The sequence below is a fragment of the Homo sapiens genome, chromosome 10, assembly GCF_000001405.40.
Source record: "Homo sapiens chromosome 10, GRCh38.p14 Primary Assembly".
Lineage (NCBI taxonomy): Eukaryota > Metazoa > Chordata > Mammalia > Primates > Hominidae > Homo > Homo sapiens.
The window spans coordinates 95,699,931-95,721,964 of NC_000010.11; the positions used below are offsets into that span (position 1 = coordinate 95,699,931).

The 22,034-nt window shown below is 41.5% G+C and overlaps 1 protein-coding gene across 6 annotated transcripts in view; it reads left to right on the forward strand.

Moving 5' to 3' along the window:
- The window catches only part of ENTPD1 (ectonucleoside triphosphate diphosphohydrolase 1), a 183,082-nt gene that overhangs the window by 5,746 nt on the left and 155,302 nt on the right, over positions 1-22,034 (forward strand). For 3 of the 6 annotated variants that reach the window (NM_001440933.1, XM_011540371.3, XM_047426026.1), the window contains 2 exons: positions 10,939-11,176; positions 11,919-12,063. In NM_001440933.1, the coding sequence (NP_001427862.1) occupies positions 12,027-12,063 (37 nt within the window). In that variant the 5' untranslated portion in view covers positions 10,939-11,176; positions 11,919-12,026. Of the gene's footprint in view, positions 1-10,938; positions 11,177-11,833; positions 12,064-22,034 lie in introns of those variants that run through there. The other 3 variants (XM_047426024.1, NM_001440934.1, NM_001098175.2) reach the window with 2 other exon arrangements.

Below are 22,034 nucleotides of genomic sequence, written 5' to 3' on the forward strand. Positions count from 1 at the left end.
GAACTAGCGATAGCAAGTAAGAGAGAAGATAAAAGGTAAAGTTGATGGAAATCAAGAAAATACATCGAAGGTCTATATGGTATATGGAATAGTTTGCCTTTGTACTCAAAAGGACCTATAACTAGATATTTTCTTTGAGGAAAAAATAGAGAATTCTTTCTAGAAATTGATACACTAGTTAATATAAGAGAGATTTGAGAAGTAATCAATAAAACATTCATGAGAGCAGAATATTTGGCAAAGGAGCAATCAGAATAAGAGAAAGCTCTTGGAAATTAAAACTATTAACTTTTTTGTTTAAAATTTTGGAAGATAAATATAAGGACATCTAATCTATTGAACAAAAAGATAAATAAATAGAAAATATGAGACACTGAGGATTAAATCTACAAGTCCAATGTTTGATTAATATGAGTTCCAGGAAAAAAAAAGAAAATGGAAGAATTAAATTGGTTAAGGAAATATTAGGAACTCACACCTGTAGTCTCAGCACTTTGAGAGGCTGAAGCAGGAGGATCGCTTGAGGCTGGAGGATCACTTGAGGCCAGGAGTTTGAGACCAACCTGGGCAACATAGTGAGACTCCGTTCCTACAAGAAATGAAAAAAAATACCTGGGCATGGTGGCACGTGCCTATAGTCCTAGCTGCACAAGAGGCTGAGTTGGGAAGATCGCTTGCACCCAGGAAATTGAGGTTATAGTGACCTGTGATCACAGCACTGCACTCCAGCCTGGACAATAGAGCAAATCTCTGTCTCTATTAAAAAGAAAAGAAAATGGAAAAACAATAAAACAAATAAGTCCAAATATATAAATAATTACAATAAATATGAATAAGTTTAATTCATCTATTAAGAAGTATATTCTTTTTTTTTTTTTTGAGACCAAGTTTCGCTCTTGTTGCCCAGGCTGGAGTGCAGTGGCATGATCTCGGCTCACTGCAGCCTCCACCTCCCTGGCTCAAGCAATTCTCCTGCCTCAGCTTCCCAAGTAGCTGGGATTATAGGTGCCCACCACCACGCCTGGCTAATGTTTTGTATTTTTAGTAGAGATGAGGTTTTGCCATGTTGGCCAGGCTGGTCTCGAACTCCTGGCCTCAGGTGATCTGCCCGCCTCAGCCTCCCAAAGTGCTGGGATTACAGGCCTGAGCCACCGTGCCCAGCCAGAAATAAAATCTTAATAGGCAAATGCTAATAAGGAGGAAACAGATGTGGTAATAGTAATGACAGTCAAAATAGAATTCCAGCCTAGTGCAGTGGCTTGTGCCTATAATTTCAGCTACTCAGGAAGGGAAGTTGAAGCAGAAGGACTGCTTGAGACCAGGAGTTCAAGACCAGCCGGGCAACATAGTGAGACCTTATCTCTAAAAATATAAAGATAAAAATAAAATTCTAAGTGAATTATATTTGAGGGCAATATATATTTCATCTTTATAAAAGTTACAGACTACCTAGAAGATGTTAAATTAATGAATCCTTGTGGATCTAAAGACATTGTTTTAAAATATAAAAGCAAATAAGTAGTGGAAAGAGTAGACTAGGTAAATCCACCATCAGAGTAAAAGATTTTTATCATACCTCTTCCATAAATAGATAGATTAAATAATAAAAATAGAGAAAAAGATTTAAATAAGTGATTTTAAAATTCTCAATTTATCTATAGATGGTGTAGAACTTGAACCTAATAAGCAAATAGTACTAATTATTTTCAATCATACTTGGAGCATTGACAAAAATTGACCATGTATTATGCCACAAAGGGAATCTCAATGAAGAGAAAAAAGGCAAAGATTTTATAGTACATTCTGCTTGCCACAATGCATTAAAATTAGAAATTAACATAAAAGGACAGCAAAATATCCTCTTGGAAATTAAGGGAAAAAATCACATTTTTGAATAAATCTTGAGTTAAAAGAAAATAAACACAAAAATTACAAACTAATTAAAAATGAAAGTTAAACAACTAGAATACATAGAACAAAGCCAATAGAACTTAGAGAACTTTTATATTTTCAAGTACTTTTATTTTTTAAAAAGAAATATTTAAAATAATCCTAAACTTAATCTTACAATTTAGTAAGCAAACAAATTACAAATTAAAAGATAAAGAAGAGAATTCATAAAGATAATAGAGGAAATTAAAAATTAAAAACAAATAAAAAATCAGTAGAGTAATTGATAAAACCAATAGCTGGTTATGTGAAAAGATAAACAGACAAATGTTTAGAAGATCAAATTAAAAAACACAAATTAATAATATTAGGTCCCAATAAGAGGTCATAACAATTGGTATAGACTTAAAATATATATATGATTAATATACATTCAGTAAAATAGCTGACAAGATGGAGAATTTCACCAGAGACTGAAACCTATGAAAATGCATCAAATGTAAATCCTAGAACTGAAAAGTACAATAATGGAAATTGAGAACTCTTAGATTGGTTTAACAGTGGATTAAACACAGCAGAGGGCAGGATTAGTGAACTGAAAAACTAGATTATTTGTTAAGATCTAGTATAAAACATGGGAAAATGTGTTGAAAATTCAGAAAAGAATGTAAGAGACAATGTGGGGAGAGTGGTAGAAATACTGATATGTAATTGGGCCCCAGAAGGAAAGGAGAGAGATAATGGGGTAGACACAGCAATATATTAGGATATTTTGGCTGAATATTTTCCCAAATAAATGAATGTTATCAATCTGTAGATTCCAGCTCTACAAAACCCAAACAAGATAAATTTAAAAGAAAATAATACATGGGGATATCTTACTCAAATCCCAAACATTGACAAAGAGAAAATCTTTAAAATGTATAGCTTAAAAAGACATATTACCTTCAAAACAGCAACAATAACACCTGACTTTTCTTGAAACAGAGTCTCACTCTGTCGCCCATGCTGGAGTGCAATGGTGCGATCTCGGTTCACTGCAAACTCCGCCTCTGGGTTCACACAATTCTCTGCCTCAGCCTCCAGAGTAGCTGGGAATGACAGGCACCTGCCACCACGCCAGGCTAAATTTTTTTTTTTATTTTTAGTAGAGATGGGGTTTCACCATCTTGGCCAGGCTGGTTTTGAATTCCTCACCTCGTGATCCACCCGCCTCGGGCTCCCAAAGTGCTGGGATTACAGGTGTGAGCCACCGCGCCCGGCCTACACCTGACTTTTCAACAAAAATAATGGAAGTTATAAAAAGTAGAATATCTTTAAGGAAGCTAACCTAAAATTGTATACCCAGCAAAAGATTCCTCAAAAATGAAGATAAGATAAAAATGTATTTATAAACCAAAAACTGAGGGAAAAATTACCACTAACAGACCCACACAAAGAATTGCTAAAGGGAATTCTTCATGCTAAAGAGAAAATGATCTCAGACGGATGCATGGAAATGCAGAAATAAATGAAGAGCAATGGAAAGAATAAATATAATGTCAATATAGAAAATTCAATTGTATTCCTATATTATAGCCATAATAAAGTAAAACTTTTAGATGATAAAATGTACAATTACCTGAAGAAACACTAAATACACAGGAATAAATCTGAAATAGTATAAGATCTTTACATATCACTGGGCGCGGTGGCTCACGCCTGTAATCCAAGCACTTTGGGAGGCCAAGGCAGGTGGATCACTTGAGGTTAGGAGTTTGAGGCCAGCCTGGCTAACATGGTGAAACGCTGTCTCTACTGAAAATACAAAAATTAGCCAGGCGTGGTGGCAGGCGCCTGTAATCCCAGCCACTCGGGAGGCTGAGGCAGGAGAATCACTTGAACCCAGGAGGCAGAGATTGCAGTGAGCTGAGATCGTGCCACTGCACTCCAGCCTAGGCGACAGAGCGAGACTCTGTCTCAAAAAAAAAAAAAAAAAAAAAAGATCTGACTGGGCGCAGTGGCTCACACCTGTAATCCCAGCACTTTGCGAGGCTGAGGTGGGTGGATCCCCTGAGGTCAGGAGTTCATGACCAGCCTGGACAACATGGTGAAACCCCATCTCTACTAAAATACAAAAAATTAGCCAGGCATGGTGGTTCATGCCTGTAGTCTCAGCTACTCAGGAGGCTGAGGCAGGGGAATTGCTTGAACCCGGGAGGCAGAGATTGCAGTGAGCTGAGATCACGCCACTGCACTCCAGCCTGGCAACAGAGCAAGACTCTGTCAAAAAAACAAAACAAAACAAAACTACATATCAAAATATATAATATTTCTGAGAGGAATAATAGAAAACCTAAATGAGAGCTGCACCAAATTCATGGCTAGAAAGACTTATTAATGAAAACATGTGAAGTCTTCCCAAATTCATGTATAGATTCATACAGTCCAGTAAAAATTTCAGCATTTTTGGGTAAAAATTGACATGCTGATTTCAAATTTACGTGTAATTTCAAAAGGTCAAAAATACCAAGAGAATCTTAAAGAAGAACAAGGCTAGAAGGCCTCTACCTACTAGATATCACATCTTATTATTAAGATAAAATAATTGTTAGAATAAAATGGTATCGCTTTGGCTCCAAGATCAACAAATAGATCAATGGAAAAGAATAGTGTCCAGAAAAAGACCCACACATATGTAGTCACTTGATTTGTGACAAAGGTAATATTACAGTACAGTGAGGAAAGGGTGATTTTGTCAATAAACTGTGCTGTACCAATTGGATATTTATAGGGATGACAGTGTATCTGTACTCCTACCTTACCTATACCCAAACATCAATTTTACATAGATTTTATACTTAGGGAAAAAATAAAGCTTCTAGAACGTGATGTAAGATAATACGATCCTGAGGTAGGCAAAGGGTTTTTAAGCTGGACAAAAATCACTGATAATAAAGAAAAAGATTGTTTAATTGTGTCTTGTTAACATTGAGAATTTCTCTTAATAAAAAGACAGTATTAAGAGAGTAAAAAGGCAAGCTACTCAATGGTAAAATATTATATATATATATGTATATATATGTAAATATACACATACACACATATAAAAAGAAGGATGTGTACCCAGAATACGTAAAGAATCCATGTACAATCCCCCAAAAAATTGACCAAAATTTTGACCAGACTTTTCATAAAGGAGGATATATAAATGAGTAATAAACATAAAAGAGAAACTCAACATCATTATCAAAGAAGTTCAAATGAAGACAATAATAAGATAGAATTCCATATCTTTTAAAGTGGTTAAACTTTTTAAAGGTGGAGGATATGGAGTTACTGGATATTTCATTTGCTACTGATAGGGGTATAAATTGGGGCTACCATTTACTGTTGGGCTTCATATAATAAAGCTAAACATATACATACCCTATGACCCAGCAAAATATACACTTTTAGGTGTATACCCAGTAGAAAATGTGTGTGTGTGTGTGTGTGTATGGTAAATACATATATTTAACAAAAGACTTGTATGACAACATTTATAGCAGCATGATTTAAAATAGCACCAAACTACAATCAACCTTATTATCCATCAAAAGCAAAATGTATATAAATTGTAGTATACTCATACAATGGAATAATAATATTGCAATGAAAATGAACAAAGTACTGCCACACAACAATTTTTTTTGTTGTTGTTGTTTTTTGAGACAGAGTGTAAGTCTGTCACCCAGGCTGGAGTGCAATGGCGTGAACTCGGCTCACTGCAACCTCCACCTCCCGGGTTCAAGCGATTCTCCTGCCTCAGCCTCCTGAGTACCTGGGATTACAGGCGCCTGCCACCACACCTGGCTAATTTTTGTATTTTTAGTAGAGATGGGGTTTCGCCATTTTGGCCAGGCTGGTCTTGAATTTCTGACCTCAGGTGATCTGCCCACCTTGGCCTCCCAAAGTGCTGGGATTACAGGCATAAGCCACTGCGCCAGGCCAACTTAGACAATCTAAATGATAATCGTGTTGATTTGGCCAGGCATGGTGGCTCATGGCACTTTGGGAGTCCAAGGTGGTTGAATTTGCTTTAGCTCAGGAGTTTGAGACCAGCCTGGGCGATGTAGTGAGACCTCGTCTCTATGAAAAATTTAAAAATTTAGTTGGGTGTGATGGCATGCACCTATAGGTCCAGCCACTTGGGAAACTGAGGTGGGAAGTTCACTTGAGCCTGGGAGGTCAAGGCTGCAGTGAGCAGTGATCATGCCACTGCATTCCTGCCTGGGTGAGTGAGTGAGACCTTGTCTCAAAACAAAAACAAAAACAAATATAATGTTGATCTAAAGCAAGATACACAAAAGAACATATTATATTAATTCATTTATATAAAATTCAAAAAATAGGCAAAACTGCCTTATATTATTAGAATGTTGGACAGTGGTTATGTTATGGGATCTTTGGGTTGTCAATTTTCTTCCTAGAAACCTCTGTGGCCAGTAGCGCCTTTGTTCAAGTTCTTGTCCTGCGTCCAGGAAGAATGAGGTACACAGACAAGTGAAGGATGAACAAGGCAAAGATAAACTTTATTAAGTGTTAGAACAGCTCAGAGGAGACCCTCAGTGGGTGGCTCCTCTCTGCAGATCCTCCAGTCAAGTGTTCAGCTCTCAGCATAGAGGAGGCCCTGGGGAGGGTAGCTCCTCTCTGCCCGCTGGTCGTCCCATCATCTGCTGCTCTCAGCAGAGAGGAGGCCCTGGAGAGGGTGGCTCTTCTCTGCAGACAGGTTGTTTGGAGGTCTCTGCAGGCCTCTCAAACTGTCAGCAGATGGTAGCTCTTCTTTGCAGCTTGTTGTCCCCTCATCTCTGTCCTCTGCATCCTCTGTCCTGCTCTGGCCATCCTCTCTAGTCCTGTGGCTCATAGGGTAGTAAGTACATGCAGATTGGTCCATGGGTGGTCATAGGCAGCAGGGAGTCCCCACTCTGGTGTGTGGGACTGGTGGCCTGGCCCTCAGCTTTCAGGCCCTCCATGGCCTGAAGGTGGTGCCTTACTGGGGACCCCACCCCCTTCTGCCCAGCAACCTGTCTGCCTTCCGCCGCCATTCATGGCCCGGGTGTTCAGCCCAACCCCACTTGGAGAGATCCGAGCAGGCGCCGGGAGAGAAGAGAGGTCAGGCAGTGGGAGCAGACGCTCCTAAGCCTGCAGGGACTGAGGGGGGTGCCTTCCTGGGCACCCGAGGGTGCAGGCTGCAGAGATGGCCGGGTCCTGTGCCTGGGAGGGTGGCCACAGCTATACCTGGGAGCTCCCGCCCTGCCAACTCAGGGATCCCGCTTGTTCCCAACTCCTGCCTGCTCCATGCAGCGGGGACCTGGTCTGCAGCTGTTGGTCGTGGGGGCTGCAGCTGCACCCGGGAGGGCAGATCCTGCCTGCTCCTGGCCTCCTCCAAGAGCACAGGGAGGCTCAGATGCACAGCCATGGTTTGGGCAGCTGCAGCCCTGCCCAGGAGGGTGGAGCTTCTACCTGCTCCATAGAGCATGAGGCCTGGGTCTGCAGCCACAGTTTGGGGGGGCTGCAGTGGTACCTGGGTAGCTCCCACCCCAATTCAGAAAGGGCAGGCCTCCCACTGGCTCCATGGAGTGCCCAGGCCCAGCGGGGCCTCCCTGCTGCAGCTAGTGTGATGGTAGCATCCGCTGCCATCAGTTATGTTTGAGAGGAGTAGTGACTGGGTAGGAATACAATGGAGATTTCTGAGCTGGTGGTAATCATGTCTTCAAATGGGCTAGGGTTACATGGGCAGGCTCACTTTTTTTGTTGTTTGTTTGTTTTGTTTTGTTTTTTGAGACAGAGTCTTGCTCTGTGTCTCAGGCTGGAGTGCAGTGGTGCAATCTTGGCTCACTGCAACCTCCACTTCCTGCCTTCAAGCGATTCTCGTGCTTCAGCCTCCTGAGTAGCTGGGATTATAGGCATGTGCCACTATGCCCAGCTAATTATTGTATTTTTAATAGAAATGGAGTTTCACCATGCTAGCCAGGCTAGTCTTGAACTCCTGACCTCAAGTGATCTGCCCACCTTGGCATCCCAAAGTGCTGGGATTACAGGTGTGAGCCACCTCTCCTAGCCATCACTTTGTAAAAATTAGTGGAGCTATATATACATTTGATTTATGCGTTGTTCTGTATTCATGTTTATACTTCAACAAAAAAGTTTACTTAAAAAAAGATACTAGATTTTTCCAAATTAGATTGTCAACAATGAAAAAGTTTGATGACATCAAATGATGATATAAAAAAATGGGTACACTGCATTAGGAATGTAAACTGTTATAGCCTTTTTTGGAGGGCCATAGGTCAGTATCTATTAAGTTTTTATATGCATATGCCCCTTTATTCAGGGATTTAACTTCTTTTTTTTAATTTTTATTTATTTTTATTTTATTTTTTTTTTTTTTGAGACAGAGTCTCACTCTGTCCCTAGGCTGGAGTGCAGTGCCGTGACCTCGGCTCACTACAACCTCCGACTCCCTGGTTCAAGTGATTCTTCTGCCTCAGCCTCCCGAGTAGCTGGGATTACAGGCATGTGCCATCACGCCCAGCTAATTTTTGTATTTTTAGTAGAGACAGGGTTTCACTATGTTGGCCTGGATGGTCTCAATCTCCTGACCTTGTGATCCGCCTGCCTCAGCCTCCCAAAGTGCTGGGATTACAGGCATGAGCTGCTGCGCCTGGCCCAGAGATTTAACTTCTTGATAGCTATTCCGGAGAAATCCACACAAGTGTAGAAGAGGCAAATAGAAGCATATATATTGGAAACAATGTAAATGTCTATCAGTAGCAGAGTGGATAAATAAACTATGATGCATTCATTATGGAATACTCTGCAATAGCAAGAATGAGGTAGTTCTTTATTTAGTGAAATGGAAATATCTCCAAGACAAATACATGAAAAAACCAAGTTACAGAACAGTACACAGAGCATACTATCATTTACACTAAAAAAGGCACATTTAAACTCTTAACCCAGTGTCTAATAAAAAGTTAAACAATGTTTGTGTGGTAGTATGTATGTTGTGTGGTACTTAGATTTTGAAAAACAGTTAATAATAATTTCGTGAAAAAAATTCTGCTCTGGTAGCAAAAGAACAGCGGTGAGAGCTCTCTCAATACAATAATTACAAATTGAGCATTTCTTCATTTTTAAAAACTTAACTGAGTACCTGTAGAATCATTGTCATCAGCTGAGACTTTTTAAAATTAAATTTTCTATTTCATGATAGATGAAGTTGTAGGTTATGCAACCTACAACCTTCAGGTAGATGCATGAAGTTATAGGAAATTGAGAGTACTCAGAGCAATCCTGTGTACCCTCAAAGGTAACACTTCAAAAACTATCATACAATATCACAAGTGGAATAATGGCATTGATACAACCCACCAATCTTCAAGATTTCCCCAGTTTTATTTGTGTGTGTGTATATTTAGTTCATGAAATTTTAATGCATGTGTAGTTTCATGTTTCCACCACCACAGTAAAGATACAGAGCAGTTCTGTCTCCCTGAAAATCTCTCCTCTTTTCCTTATTTTTTTTTTCTGTTTGTTTGTTTTTTCTTTGTTTTTTTGAGACGAAGTTTCGCTTTTGTTGCCCAGTCTAGAGTGCAATGGCCTGGTCTCGGCTCACTGCAACCTCCACCTCCCGGGTTCAAGCGATTCTTCTGCCTCAGCCTCCCGAGTACCTGGGATTACAGGTGCCTGCCACCACGCCCGGCTAATTTTTGTATTTTTAGTAGAGACGAAGTTTCACCATGTTGGTCAGGCTGGTCTCAAACTCATGACCTCAGGCAATCCGCCGGCCTTGGCCTCCCAAGTGCTGGGATTACAGGCCTGAGCCACCGGGCCTGGGCCTCTTGTCTTTTCATAACCAAACCCACCTTTCTTTTCCCACTCCTGCTCCCCAAGATGCAGTGTTTTTTGTTGTTGTTTGTTTGTTTGTTTGTTTGTTTTTGAGACGGAGTCTCCCTCTGTCGTCCAGGCTGAAGTGCAGTGGTGCCATCTCAGATCACTGCAACCACCACCTCCTGGGTTCAAGCAATTCTCCTGCCTTAGCCCCGGCCCCCCCCACCAGTAGCTGGGATTACAGGCATGTGCCACCACGCCCAGCTAGTTTTTGTATTTTTAGTAGAGAGGGTTTCACCATGTTGACCAGGCTGGTCTCGAACTCCTGACCTTAGGTGATCCACCCCCCTCGGCCTCCCAAAGTGCTGGGATTACAAGCGTAAGCCACTGTGCACAGCCCCCAAGACGTAATTTTAAACCATCATTAATTTTTATAATAACCATGATAGGCCAGGCACGGTGGCTCATGCCTGTAATCCCAGCACTTTGGGAGACGGAGGCGGACAGATCACTTGAGGTCAGGAGTTCCAGACTAGCTTGGCCAATATGGTGAAACCCTGTCTCTACTAAAAATACAAAAATTAGCCGGGTGTGGTGGTGCTGGCCTGTAATCCCAGCTACTCAGGAGGCTGATGCAGGAGAATCACTTGAACAGAGGAGGTGGAGGTTGCAGTGAGCAGAGATTACACCACTGCATTCCAGCTTGGGCAACAGAGCCAGACTGTTTTAAAAAAAATTTTTTTTAATGATACTCATGATTAAAATAACTATGTAATTTATCTAAATTATTGTTTACAAGCATTTATCTAAGTAAGTTGAATAAACGGTGTCTACATGTTTAGTAGAAAACAAATGTTTAGTAGCTCTGGCAGAATTCATCTCCTTGCTTTTTAAGAGATTAATAAACAATGAATACATTGTAGAGGAAAGAAGTATGTTTTCACTTTGAAACCTTTTTAAAAATTTTTCTTTAGCCATTTAGTATTAATAACAAGGGAAGTAGTATTAATAACAAGGGAAGAGGGGTTTCTACTCCTTTTCTTTTTTTCTTTGCTCTTCTTCCTCATTTCATCCCTTGGAGACTGTCTATAGTCCCACATTTTGTCCAGTTTTGAATCTGTGTAATTTTGACTCTATGGCAGAAACTGTTTATTGCTGACTATACATTTGTTCTCTCTTCTCTCAAATAAACAGAGCCCCAACTTTTTACTGAGCACAATATAGCCAAAAGATGACATTGCCCAGCCTCTTTCGCAGATAGCTGTGGCTATTCCAGGATCCCAGAAAATGGTAGCCACAAATGAAGGCCTCTGAAGCAGAACTGCCCTGGATCTTTACTGTGCTGGTGCCCTCTCGGACTTTCTCTTGCCCTTCTGTCTCTGGCCTCTCATTCTCCCCCGAGAAATGGAAACTAGAATTCCTCTTCCCCCAGGTGGGTCATAGAAGCCAGCAACAAAACCTAAAAATATCACTTTAACTTTCTCTTTCTCCCAGCCTTTCTGTATAAAAACTGGCCATAAAGAAATGATCTGACCTGCCTCGTCTGACTGTTCCAGATTGTTGAAACCCATTCTGGAGAGGCTTCTACCCCACATTTAGACTGTTGAATCCCATTGCAGAGCGGGTCCTGTCCCACATCCAGAAGGAAGGAAGGCACAGAGGTCAAGAAGAATCTAGATAGACAGCATTGCTGAGTTTCTCCCACTCAGTCTATAGCATTAGATCACACTCTTTTTTTATCCTGTTATATTTCTACATGGCTGTTCATACTTGGTTGAACCTAAGCATAAAAGTGGACAATTCCCCTATATCTTTTATTTATTTTATTTATTTTCACTTTTTTTAGGGACAGGGTCTCACACTGTCACTCGAGCTGGAGCTCGGTGGCACAATCACAGCTCATGCAGCCTCAAACTCCTGGGCCCAGCATACCTGGCTAATTTTAAAATTTTTTGTACAGATGGAATCTTGCTTTGTTCCTAAGGCTGACCTTAAACTCTTGGCCCCAAGGCATACTCCCTCCTCAGCCTCCCAAAGTGCTGAGGTCACAGGCATGTGACACTGTGCCCAGCCTCCCCTTCAGGTCTTCATTCTGCAGTCTCCTGTGTACGTGTAAAATTATGATCAAATAAATTTGTATGCCTTTTCTCCTATTAACCTGCCTTTTTTGTCAGCGATTGTCAGTGAAACTTCAGAGGGCAAAGGGGAAGTTTTCCTTGGCCCCTCCAGTTTTGGTGCTGTGAACAGGATACCAAAGCTGCTCTGTTCTTCTGGAAGCTGCAATGAAGGGAACCAAGGACCTGACAAGCCAGCAGAAGGGTAAGAAATTCTTACCAGTCAGGCTCCCGGCCTCTCTCCCTCTGTGGAATCTGGTAGAGCCGATGGTAAAAATCACTGTTTGTCTCATTTTCATCTCCAAAACCTTGATTAATGAGAAAAAAGGATTTGTGTGACTAGTTTTGGGTGTAGCGACTCTGGTGTCCTTTTTTGGTATGAATATTCACATTGTTCGGTCCCTTTCCTTCCAGAAATAGTCTTTGTCTTTCCGTGTTGTTGTGTCATAAAGAAGGATGCCATAGGGTAGGACATGGGCCTAAACCCCCATAAACTCTCTATTTGAGCTGGCACTGCAGACTGATCAGTTTTGCGGTTCTGACTAGACCTGTGTCTATAAACTTTGCTGTAGTCCCCAAAATAAAAACCAGATGAAGTTCTCCTATTGTCTTATTTCATGTCCGTATAAGACCTTGACTTTTGAGAGCATTTTCTCTTGGTCCTTGCGATTTTAGGGAGCATGATTTTCAGGTCACATTAGGTGACCAGTCTAAAAATGGCTGGTCACATAAGATTTTAAGTGGTATACTTTTTGTTCCAACTATGTCAAGCTCTCAGGGGAGTTTGTCTTAAGTTCCATCTGTAAGGGGCTCCTGTTGCCTGGTTAGGCTGGGAAAATTCTAATCCCAGGAGGGCCTACCTGGTGCCAGTGGATTAACGGGTCTGTGACTGGTGGTCCCTGGCAAATTTGTTGGTTACTAGTGGCACCATATGCACAAACACCAGCCTTAATAGTCTGTGGTGGGCTGGGCACTGTGGCTCCCGCCTGTAATCCCAGCACTTTGGGAGGCCAAGGTGGGCAGATCATGAGGTCAGGAGATCGAGACCATCCTGGCTAACACGATGAAACCCCATCTCTACTAAAAATACAAAAAATTAGCCGGGTGTGGTGGCGGACGCCTGTAGTCCCAACTACTCGGGAGGCTGAGGCAGGAGAATGGCGTGAACCCGGGAGGCGGAGCTTGCAGCGAGCAGAGATTGCGCCGCTGCACTCCAGACTGGGCGACAGAGCGAGATTCTGTCTTAAAAAAAAAAAAAAAAAAATAGGCTGTGGCGGCAAGAGTCTTTGTTATCTTAAGTCTACTTCTCAGTGAATTTTCGGGGATCATGGAGACTGTCTCCTCCATATGCTCTCAAGGAACACCTCTTGTTTATATAGTAAAAACTTATTCTAAACCTGGAAAATTATCTCCTGGACTTTTCATGAAGAGGCTTATTGTTGAGTCACTACTGGAATTTGTAAACCATTGGAAATTCTAATCATCAGTGGCCAAAAGATGGATCCTTTAAATTAGAAAGAACTTTAATTTTTTTTTCTTAAAAAGAAGATTTTGGAGATCTCTCATTCTAAACAATTGTCTTACTTGTATTTATGGGACAATCAAAATAAAGAAAGACACAATAGTGTCTTGGCTTAGAAATTCTCTTGACAAAATTAAAATGCAAAAATCTAACCCAAAACAAAATTAAAATCCTTTGTACACTCAAACTGCCTGCTTTGAATTCCCTGTGGGATTTACAAATAAGGCATTCCACCTTGTGGTGCAGTGGCTAAGATTCTGTGCTTTCACACCTGTGGCCTGGGTTTGATTCCTTGTCAGAGAATCAGTCCCTGTAGTACTTGTAAGCTCTTTAACTCAACAGCACAAACATTTATAAAACTTGGTTTAATATTTGTGTGACTCTTGACTTTTGGGGTACCCATTTGTTATTGATGGACAAATGTCCACAAAAAAGGTAGACAGGATATCCACTGCAGCTGGAGTGAGAGACAAGGGGTGGGTTAGCTCTACCATGAAGCAGCAGCAGAAAGGAAAAAAAATCTATCAACTATTTTTATATCCATCCATATAGCCATCCATCCATTCATCAATTTAAATAGTTACAGCTATTTTGGCATAAGTCCAAATTTTTGTACAGCTCAAAGTGTAGTAAGTCTCTATTTTATTTATTTAGTCTAGAATAATGTCACCATTATCACAGAAATGACATCTACATTTTTCTTAAGTTAAAGTTTGAGGCCTGGGCATGATGGCTCACTCCTGTAATCCCAGCACTTTGGGAGGCAGAGGTGGGCAGATTGCTTGAGCTCAGGAGTTCAAGACCAGCCTGGGCAACATAGTGAAACCCCATCTCTACAAAAAATACAAAAATTAGCTGGATGTGGTGCCATGGGCCTGTGGTCCTGGCTACTTGGGAGGCTGAGGTGGGAGAATCCCTTGAGCCTGGGAGGACGAGGCTGCAGTGAACTATATGATTGCACCACTACTACTGCAGCTTGGGCAATAGAATGAGACCCTGTCTCGAAAAAGGAATAAAAATAAAATTTACATAAATAAATAAATAAATAAACGTTAAAGTTTGAAAACTTAATTTACCAGTTATTTTTCTTATTTAATTAGTAATACATTACTTCTTTTCAGGTCTCAGTTTTGGATTGTAACTAACCACTGTTCTCTTTTGGAGGCATAGTGCCTTAATAAATGTATTATTTTGTCTACCAAACCATGTGTTTGTTGCCAACTTGCAGTCTAGCAGTAAAGAAGCTAATTTTTTCCTGAGTTTAAGATTATGTTGAAAAATAGAATAGCTTATAACACTTTATGATATTATGTATTATACCAAACAGAGATGAAACTAAATAAGTTTACAACCTCTTAATCTTTGCACAAATGCTATCATTTATTTATTCATTTGTGCATTACTTTACTTCATGGAAGGAATATATTTATCATTTATTTGTTTTTCAAACAGAATTTCAAAAATTTTTTTTTTTTAGAATATGCAGTGTTTGTAAAACTACAACAGCAGCAGCAACAACAGTTTAAGAATAAGATTAGCCCACATATTATCAAAATAGTATTTTCAGGTCTGCTTTCTTACATCTTGTGAGAATGTACATTCTGGATACTATCTTACTGTTTCAGTAAGCCTTGGAATTGTTTTGCAAAAGGACAACGGGAATGAAAAGAATCGTTAAGTTTTCACTGGAGAGAGTTATTCCCCTCGGTTATCCCTGGAATCTGGAAACATTATAGTTTATAAACTTGTTTAAATAAAAGGTTTATGCAATGATTCTTGTTATGCCTTTTTGATTTCTCCTGGAACTTCATGATAACAATATTTATTTTTTGTGAACTTTACTTAATCAGGAGTCATTTCAGATAACTGAGTCATACCCTCTTGTCTCTTTCTCCTTTCAATTCTGTCAGTATTTGCTTCATGTATTTTGGGGCTCTGTGGTTAGGTGTTATATGTGTATAATTGTTATATTTTCAGATGTATTAACCTTTTTATTATGATTAGATGTCCTTCCTTGTCTTAATGTGCCTTGTCATAAAGTCTATTTCATCTTATATTCATATAGCCATTCCAGCTCTTTCATAGCAGCTATTTGTGCATGCTATTCAACCTACTGTATATTTTAAACTAAACTGTGTTTCTTTTAGGCAACATGTAGTTAGATCTTGTTTTTTTTTTTAATACATCCTGACAATTTTTGTCTTTTGATTAAACTGTTTAGTTCATTCACATTCAGTGTAGTTATTGGTATGTTTGGATTTGTCTATTTTGCTATTTCCTTTCTATATGTCTTATTTCTTCTTTTTCCTCTGTTCCCCTTTTACTGCCTTCTTTTGTTTTAAATCAATATTTTAATTCATTTAGTGAGATATAATTCACATACCTTTAAATTTACCCCTTTAAAGTGTACAATTCAGTGGTTTTTAGTATATTTATAGAGTCATTATCTAATTTCAGAACATTTTAATTACTCCCAAAAGAAATCCTGTATCTATAAGCAGCCACTACCATTTCCCTCTCCCTCATCCCCTGACAACTACTTATTTATATTTGTATTTTTGTTTGCTTGTTTGTGACAGGGTTTCATTCTGTCACTCAGGCTGAAGTGCAGTGGTGTGATCATGGATCACTGCAGCCTTGACCTCCCAGGCTCAAGCAATCCTTCCACCTCAGCCTCCTGAGTAGCCGGGACTACAGATGTGTGACACCACATCCAGCTAATTTAAAAAAAATTTGTGCAGTCAGGGGTCCCACTATGTGGCCCATGCTGGTCTTAAAGTCTTGGTCTCTAGCAATCCTCCTGCCTTGGCCTCCCAAAGTGTTGGTATTGCAGGTATGAACCGCTGTGCCCAGCTCATTTTTAAGTATATTTTTAAAGTTCATTTTTCAGTGGTTACTCTAGGGATTTTTATTTTTCTTGAACTTCATAACTTTAACTTAAAATCCACTTCAGGTTAATGGTGGTTTACCTGTGATAAGATATGGCAACTTTGCTCCACTATAGCTCAGTTCTCTCCTTTTGATTTTGGTTGCGAACGGCAGTCCTTTGGTTCCTATTTGTTCCTGCATTGCTGTGGTTTGAGTATGGTTTGTCGCCACCAAAACTCATGTTGAGGCTTGGTCCCCAGTGTAACGGGTTGAGAGGTGGTAAGACTTTAAAAGGCATTTGAGTCATGAAAGATCTGCTCTTATGAAAGGATTAATGCCATATTGTGGGAGTGAGTGAGTTCTGTCTCTTGCAGTACTGGATTAATTACTGAGAGAGCAGGTGGTTATAAAGTGAAGTTTCCTCTCATGTTTTGTCTCTTTTCCACATGCTTGCTTGCCACTGTCATGTGTGCTCCTGCCATGTGATGCCATCTGCTATGTTATGATGCAACGTGAGGCCCTTGTCGGATGTGGCTTCCCAGTCTTAAACTTCCCAGTCTCCAGAACCATGAGCTAAATAAACTTCTTTTTAAAATCAATTACCCAGTCTCAGGTATTCCATTATAGCAATGTAAAATGAACTGAAACATGCATATCCTTGCTGAGCGTGACAGATGGCAAGCTTTATTTGTCTTCTGACACTGAGCCATTTCTGTAGCTAGTCATATAGTCAACTAGCTGGTCAAGGTGACCATAGAGTGGTACTGTGTCCCTGCTCACTACCTAAGGAGAGGCAGGGAAACTGGATTTGCTGCTTGCTCAAAAAGTGTTGGGCCCTTTGCCTGGGTTGCAACCCACTGTGTGGGTAGGCATGGGCCGTGTGGGATTTAGGCATAAGGAACTTAGGCAAATATGTTGATGTGCATTCTTCTTGCTGTTCTGTGAGTAATAAAGTCTTTTGTTTATGATGCAGGAATCTTGTGTCTTCTGCCTGTTTCCATGGGACAGTGTCAGGATAACTGTAAGCTTTAAGTAAGCTACAATCCCAAATCCTTCACCTTTTAAATTTGTTTTCAGCAATTCGCCTAGCTACCTAGATGTGGTTCTCTTTGTGTTTATCTTACACACATTGTTCATTGAGGTTCTTGGATCTGCAGGGTTTTTTTTTTTTTTTTTTTTTTGCAGTTGCAAGATTTAATAGAGTGAAAACAGAGCTCCCATAAAATGGGAGGGGACCCAAAGGGGGTTGCCGCTCCCTGCTCAAATGCCTGGGTTTATGTCCTGATCATTGTCCCTCCACCTGTGCTCTCAGGTGATATATGATTTGACTCTTTCTTTACCTCCTGCTTTAGCCTAATTTGTATTCTAGCGAGCCCTCTTTACTACCTGATTGGTCAGGTGTGAGCTGAGTTGCAAGCCCCGTGTTTAAAGGTGGGTGTGGTCACCTTTCCCAGCTAGGTTTAGGAATTCTTAGTCGGCCTAGGAAATCCAGCTAGTCCTGTCTCTCAGTACCCCCTCTCAACGGGAAAACCCAAGTGCTGTTGGGGAGGTTGGCCGACAACCGCTCTTAACTGCTTCCTGCTGAATTGGGGCATGATAGGGGTCGTGCAGTTGAGATTTCCTCAGGAGGGGTGCCTTCAATGCCATTAACATCAGAGCATGGGCTAGCAGGCCGGTCCAGGGGTCTGCAGTAGATCTCAGTCATGGACAGCATCTGGGGCTCCATTTGAAGAACGATTTGTAATTTTACAGCTTCGATTCTGGAAGAGGCAAACTTAACAAGGAGCTTAAACATACAGGGATTGAAATGTATGGCCTGAAGTGCAGGGGCATATATGGGTGTGGGCGGTGAAAGTGGGGTTTCCTTTAGAAAAACTCCTATATGATGGGGCATCAATATTTCCAGGAAGCTGCATTCTCCATGGAAGCTCTTGGTAAGGGGAGCTACTGGTAGTACAGTGGCATGGAGGAGGTGCAGTGAGAGTGAAAGTTTTGGGTGAAGGGTTTTAAGTAATTTCCACTGGTTAGCTGCAGGCAAAAGTATTTTTCCTTCTTCGGTGGCTAGCCATCCTGAGGGGAGGAAACTATGTCCTTGTGAGGTTCCCCATTCTATGTCTTCTGCTGAGTACTGGGGCTTGGTTTCCTGGAGGGGATTACCCCATACTAGGGGTCCTTCTATAAGCATTTCTAATGGAGGGGGTCCTGCCTTGCAGCTCTTCTGGCTTCAATATCCTCTTGGTGGTTCCCTTCTATTTCCCTTTCCTTTCCTTTCTGGTGACCCCAGCAGTGTAAGACTGCCACCTCTTTAGGTTTCTCTGTACAGCCAAGAATAATCTCCTAATGGCTTCCTGATGTTTGATAGGTGTTCCCTCGGAAGTTAGGAATTTCCTTTCTCTCCATATTGCTGTGTGGGCATGGAGAACTAGGTGAGCATACTTAGAGTCTGTATATATATTTACCCTTTTTCCTTCTTCTAATTCTAGTGCCCGAGTGAGGGCTATTAGTTCTGCCAGCTGAGCACTAGTTCCTGGAGCGAGGGGATTACTTTCAAGTATTCCATTATTACTGACCACTGCATACCCCACTTTTCGAAGTCCTTTTTCTACAAAGGAACTTCCATTAGTATACAAGTTGAGGTTGGGATCAGTTAAGGGAACCTCTAGAAGGTCCCCTCGAGTGGCATAGGTTTGAGCAATCACCTGTTGACAGTTATGTTCTATCTTTTCTTTATTATTTGGAAGAAATGTGGCTCAGTTAAGAGTTGCACAAGTGTGCAGTTGCAGCACTGGCCCTTTAAGTAATAGAGCCTGTTATTTAAGCAAATGGTTGCCTGACAGCCACAAGTCTCCTTTAGCAGTGAGTATGCTGTTCACATCATGAGATGTCCACACGGTAAGATCTCTTCCCTGTATTATTTTAACTGCTTCAGATACTAAGACTGCTACTGCCACCACTACCCGTAAACAATGAGGCCAACCTTTTGCCACTACATCAATTTCCTTACTTAGGTAAGCCATGGGTTGCAAGCTGGTCTCTCGGACCTGTGTAAGGATTCCTAGAGCTATTCCTCTTTTTTCTGTGACATATAAAGAAAAGTCTCGCTCCGTTGGCAAGCTTAATACTGGGGCTTCGGTTAGGGCCTTCTTTAGGGCCTGGAAAGCCGCTTCTGCTTCAGGTGTCCTTCTTACTAAATGGGTATTGGCTTTCTGAGTTTCCTTAATTAGTGTATATAATAGCCTGGCTATTTTGCCGTACCTGGGAATCCATATTTGGCAGAAGCGTGTTATGCCAAGGAACCCTCGTAGTTGCTTTAGGGTTTTGGGATGAGGATAAGCCAGTATAGGCTGGATACGTTCCTTACTGAAGGCCCTGGTGCCTTTGGATAATTTTAGCCCTACGTATTTAACCTGCTGTGAGCAGAGCTGAGCCTTTGGTTTGGAAACCTTGTAGCCACAGGTGGCGAGGAAATTTAAGAGCGTTTGGGTGGCTTGATGGCACAAGGTTTCTGAACGGGCGGCTAAAAGTAAATCATCCACGTACCAAAGGACAAGAGTGTCCAGGTATGAGAATTGACTCAAGTCTTGGGCTAATGCTTGGCCAAATAGATGGGGGCTATCCCTGAACCCTTGGGGTAAAACAGTCCAGGTGAGTTGAGACATTGGGTTCGAAGGATCTTCAAAGGCAAACAAGAATTGAGAGTCAGGATGTACAGGGATGCAGAAAAAGGCATCCTTAAGGTCCAGGACTGTAAACCACTCTGCTTCCTCTGGTATTTGGGAAAGCAGAGTATAAGGGTTAGGTACAGCTGGGTATGGAGGGACAATGGCCTCACTGATAATCCTGAGATCTTGCCCTAACCTCCACTGTCCATTGGGTTTCTGTACTCCTAAAATTGGAGTATTGCAGGGGCTATTGCATGGTTTTACTAGGCCTTGGGCTTTTAGTTTCTTAACAATCTTTTGGAGTCCTTGTTGGGCCTCGGGTGTAAGGGGGTACTGCCTTTGGTAGGGAAAGGAGGCAGAATCCTTTAGTTTAACTTGAACAGAACAGGCATTCTTTGCTCGTCCATATTGTCCGTCTGTTGCCCAGACTTCAGGATTAATTCCTTCCTCAAGCAGAGGGCAACAAATGGGTGTTCTTTTCCTGTGTTCAGGTGTATAATGGCCGCTGCTTTTGCTAGAATGTCTCTCCCTAACAGGGGAGTGGGGCTTTCAGGCATAATTAGAAAAGCATGTGAAAGAGTAATGTTCCCCAGTCACAACTTAGTGGTTGGGAGAAATATCTAGTGACTGGCTGTCCTAGGACCCCTCGGATAGTGACAGATCTGGAGGACAGTTTTCCGGGACAAGAGAGTAAGACTGAGAAGGCCGTGCCAGTGTCCAGGAGACAGTTAACCTCCTGGCCCTCAATGGTCAAACATACCCGGGGCTCTGTGAGGGTGATGGCATGGGCTGGTGCTTGCCACAGGCACCCTCATTCCTGCTGCTGGATCATCTGGTTAGTGGCTTCTGACTCAGAGGACCTTCGTCCCCTGGGGCAGTGGGCCTTCCAGTGATTCCCTTGACATAAGGGGCATGGACGAGGGGGCAGCTTATTTCTATTTGGACAATCTGCTTTAAAGTGTCCTTGTAGACCACACTGGAAGCAAGCCCTATTAGGCATTCGATTTGCTCAGCCTTTCTGTGTTCCAGAGCCTCCAAAGTCCGCTTGCCTGAGGGCCATGACTAAAGCGGTGGCCTTTTTCTTATCTCGTTAGTCCAGTTCCACCTGCTCCTCCTGATCTCTATTATAAAAAACCGAGGTTGCCAAGTTCAATAGGGTTTTTTAAGTTTTGCTCCATGCCTAAGGCGGACTTTTGAAGTGTTTTTTTTTATGTCTGCAGCTGACTGACTGATAAACTTATCCTTTAAGACTAGTTGGCCTTCAATAGAGTCAGGTGACAGAGAGGTATGCTTCCTCAGTGCCTCCCTTAGTCTCTCCAGAAAGGCAGTAGGATTTTCTTCCTTTCCCTGTGTTATAGTGGACATCATTGAATAATTTATAGGCTTCCTCCTAGGTTTCCCTAGTCCTACTAGCACATAAGTTAGCAAATGTCTGTGGCACCAATCTCCATGTTCTGATTCTGCATCCCAATGAGGGTTTACACTGGGAACTGCCTGCTGGCCTGTGGGGAATCATTCTCTTTCCTCTGTTGTCATCCTATCATTGACCTGACTGAGATACCAGAGATCGCCAAACTCTCAGGCTGCAGTTATGGTGGCACTTCTCTCATTTGGGGTTAGTGTCTGATTTAGCAGTAACATTATATTTCTCCATGTCAGATTAAAGGATTGTCCTAACCCTTGTAAAACATCAATATAGCCATCAGGGTTATTTGAGAATTTACCTAGGTCTATTTTAATTTGCTTTAAGTCTGACAGGGAAAAAGGTACATACACTCTGACTGGGCCGAATTCTCCAGAATACATCTTAGGGGCGTTTTTGCCTTAGGGGTAATGTTTCCTATCTGAAAAAAAAAAAACCGGGATGCCATCACCCCTAGTCATTCTCTGATGAGCATTAGTGCTAGAGCGTCTTCTATGGTCCTAATGCTTATTGCTTTCCAGGGTGCGTAACTACCCATGGACCTCTGCTTATCGGGTTAGTTACGCTTACCAAGTAGCAGTCCTGCACCCCTTTTCCCGCCTTTCTTGACCACAAAGAAAAGGGTCCAGGCTGCTGTATTCTAGTGGTCCTTTACCAGCATGCCCAACATTGCCTTTGTGCTCAGGGGTGAGTTGTAGAGC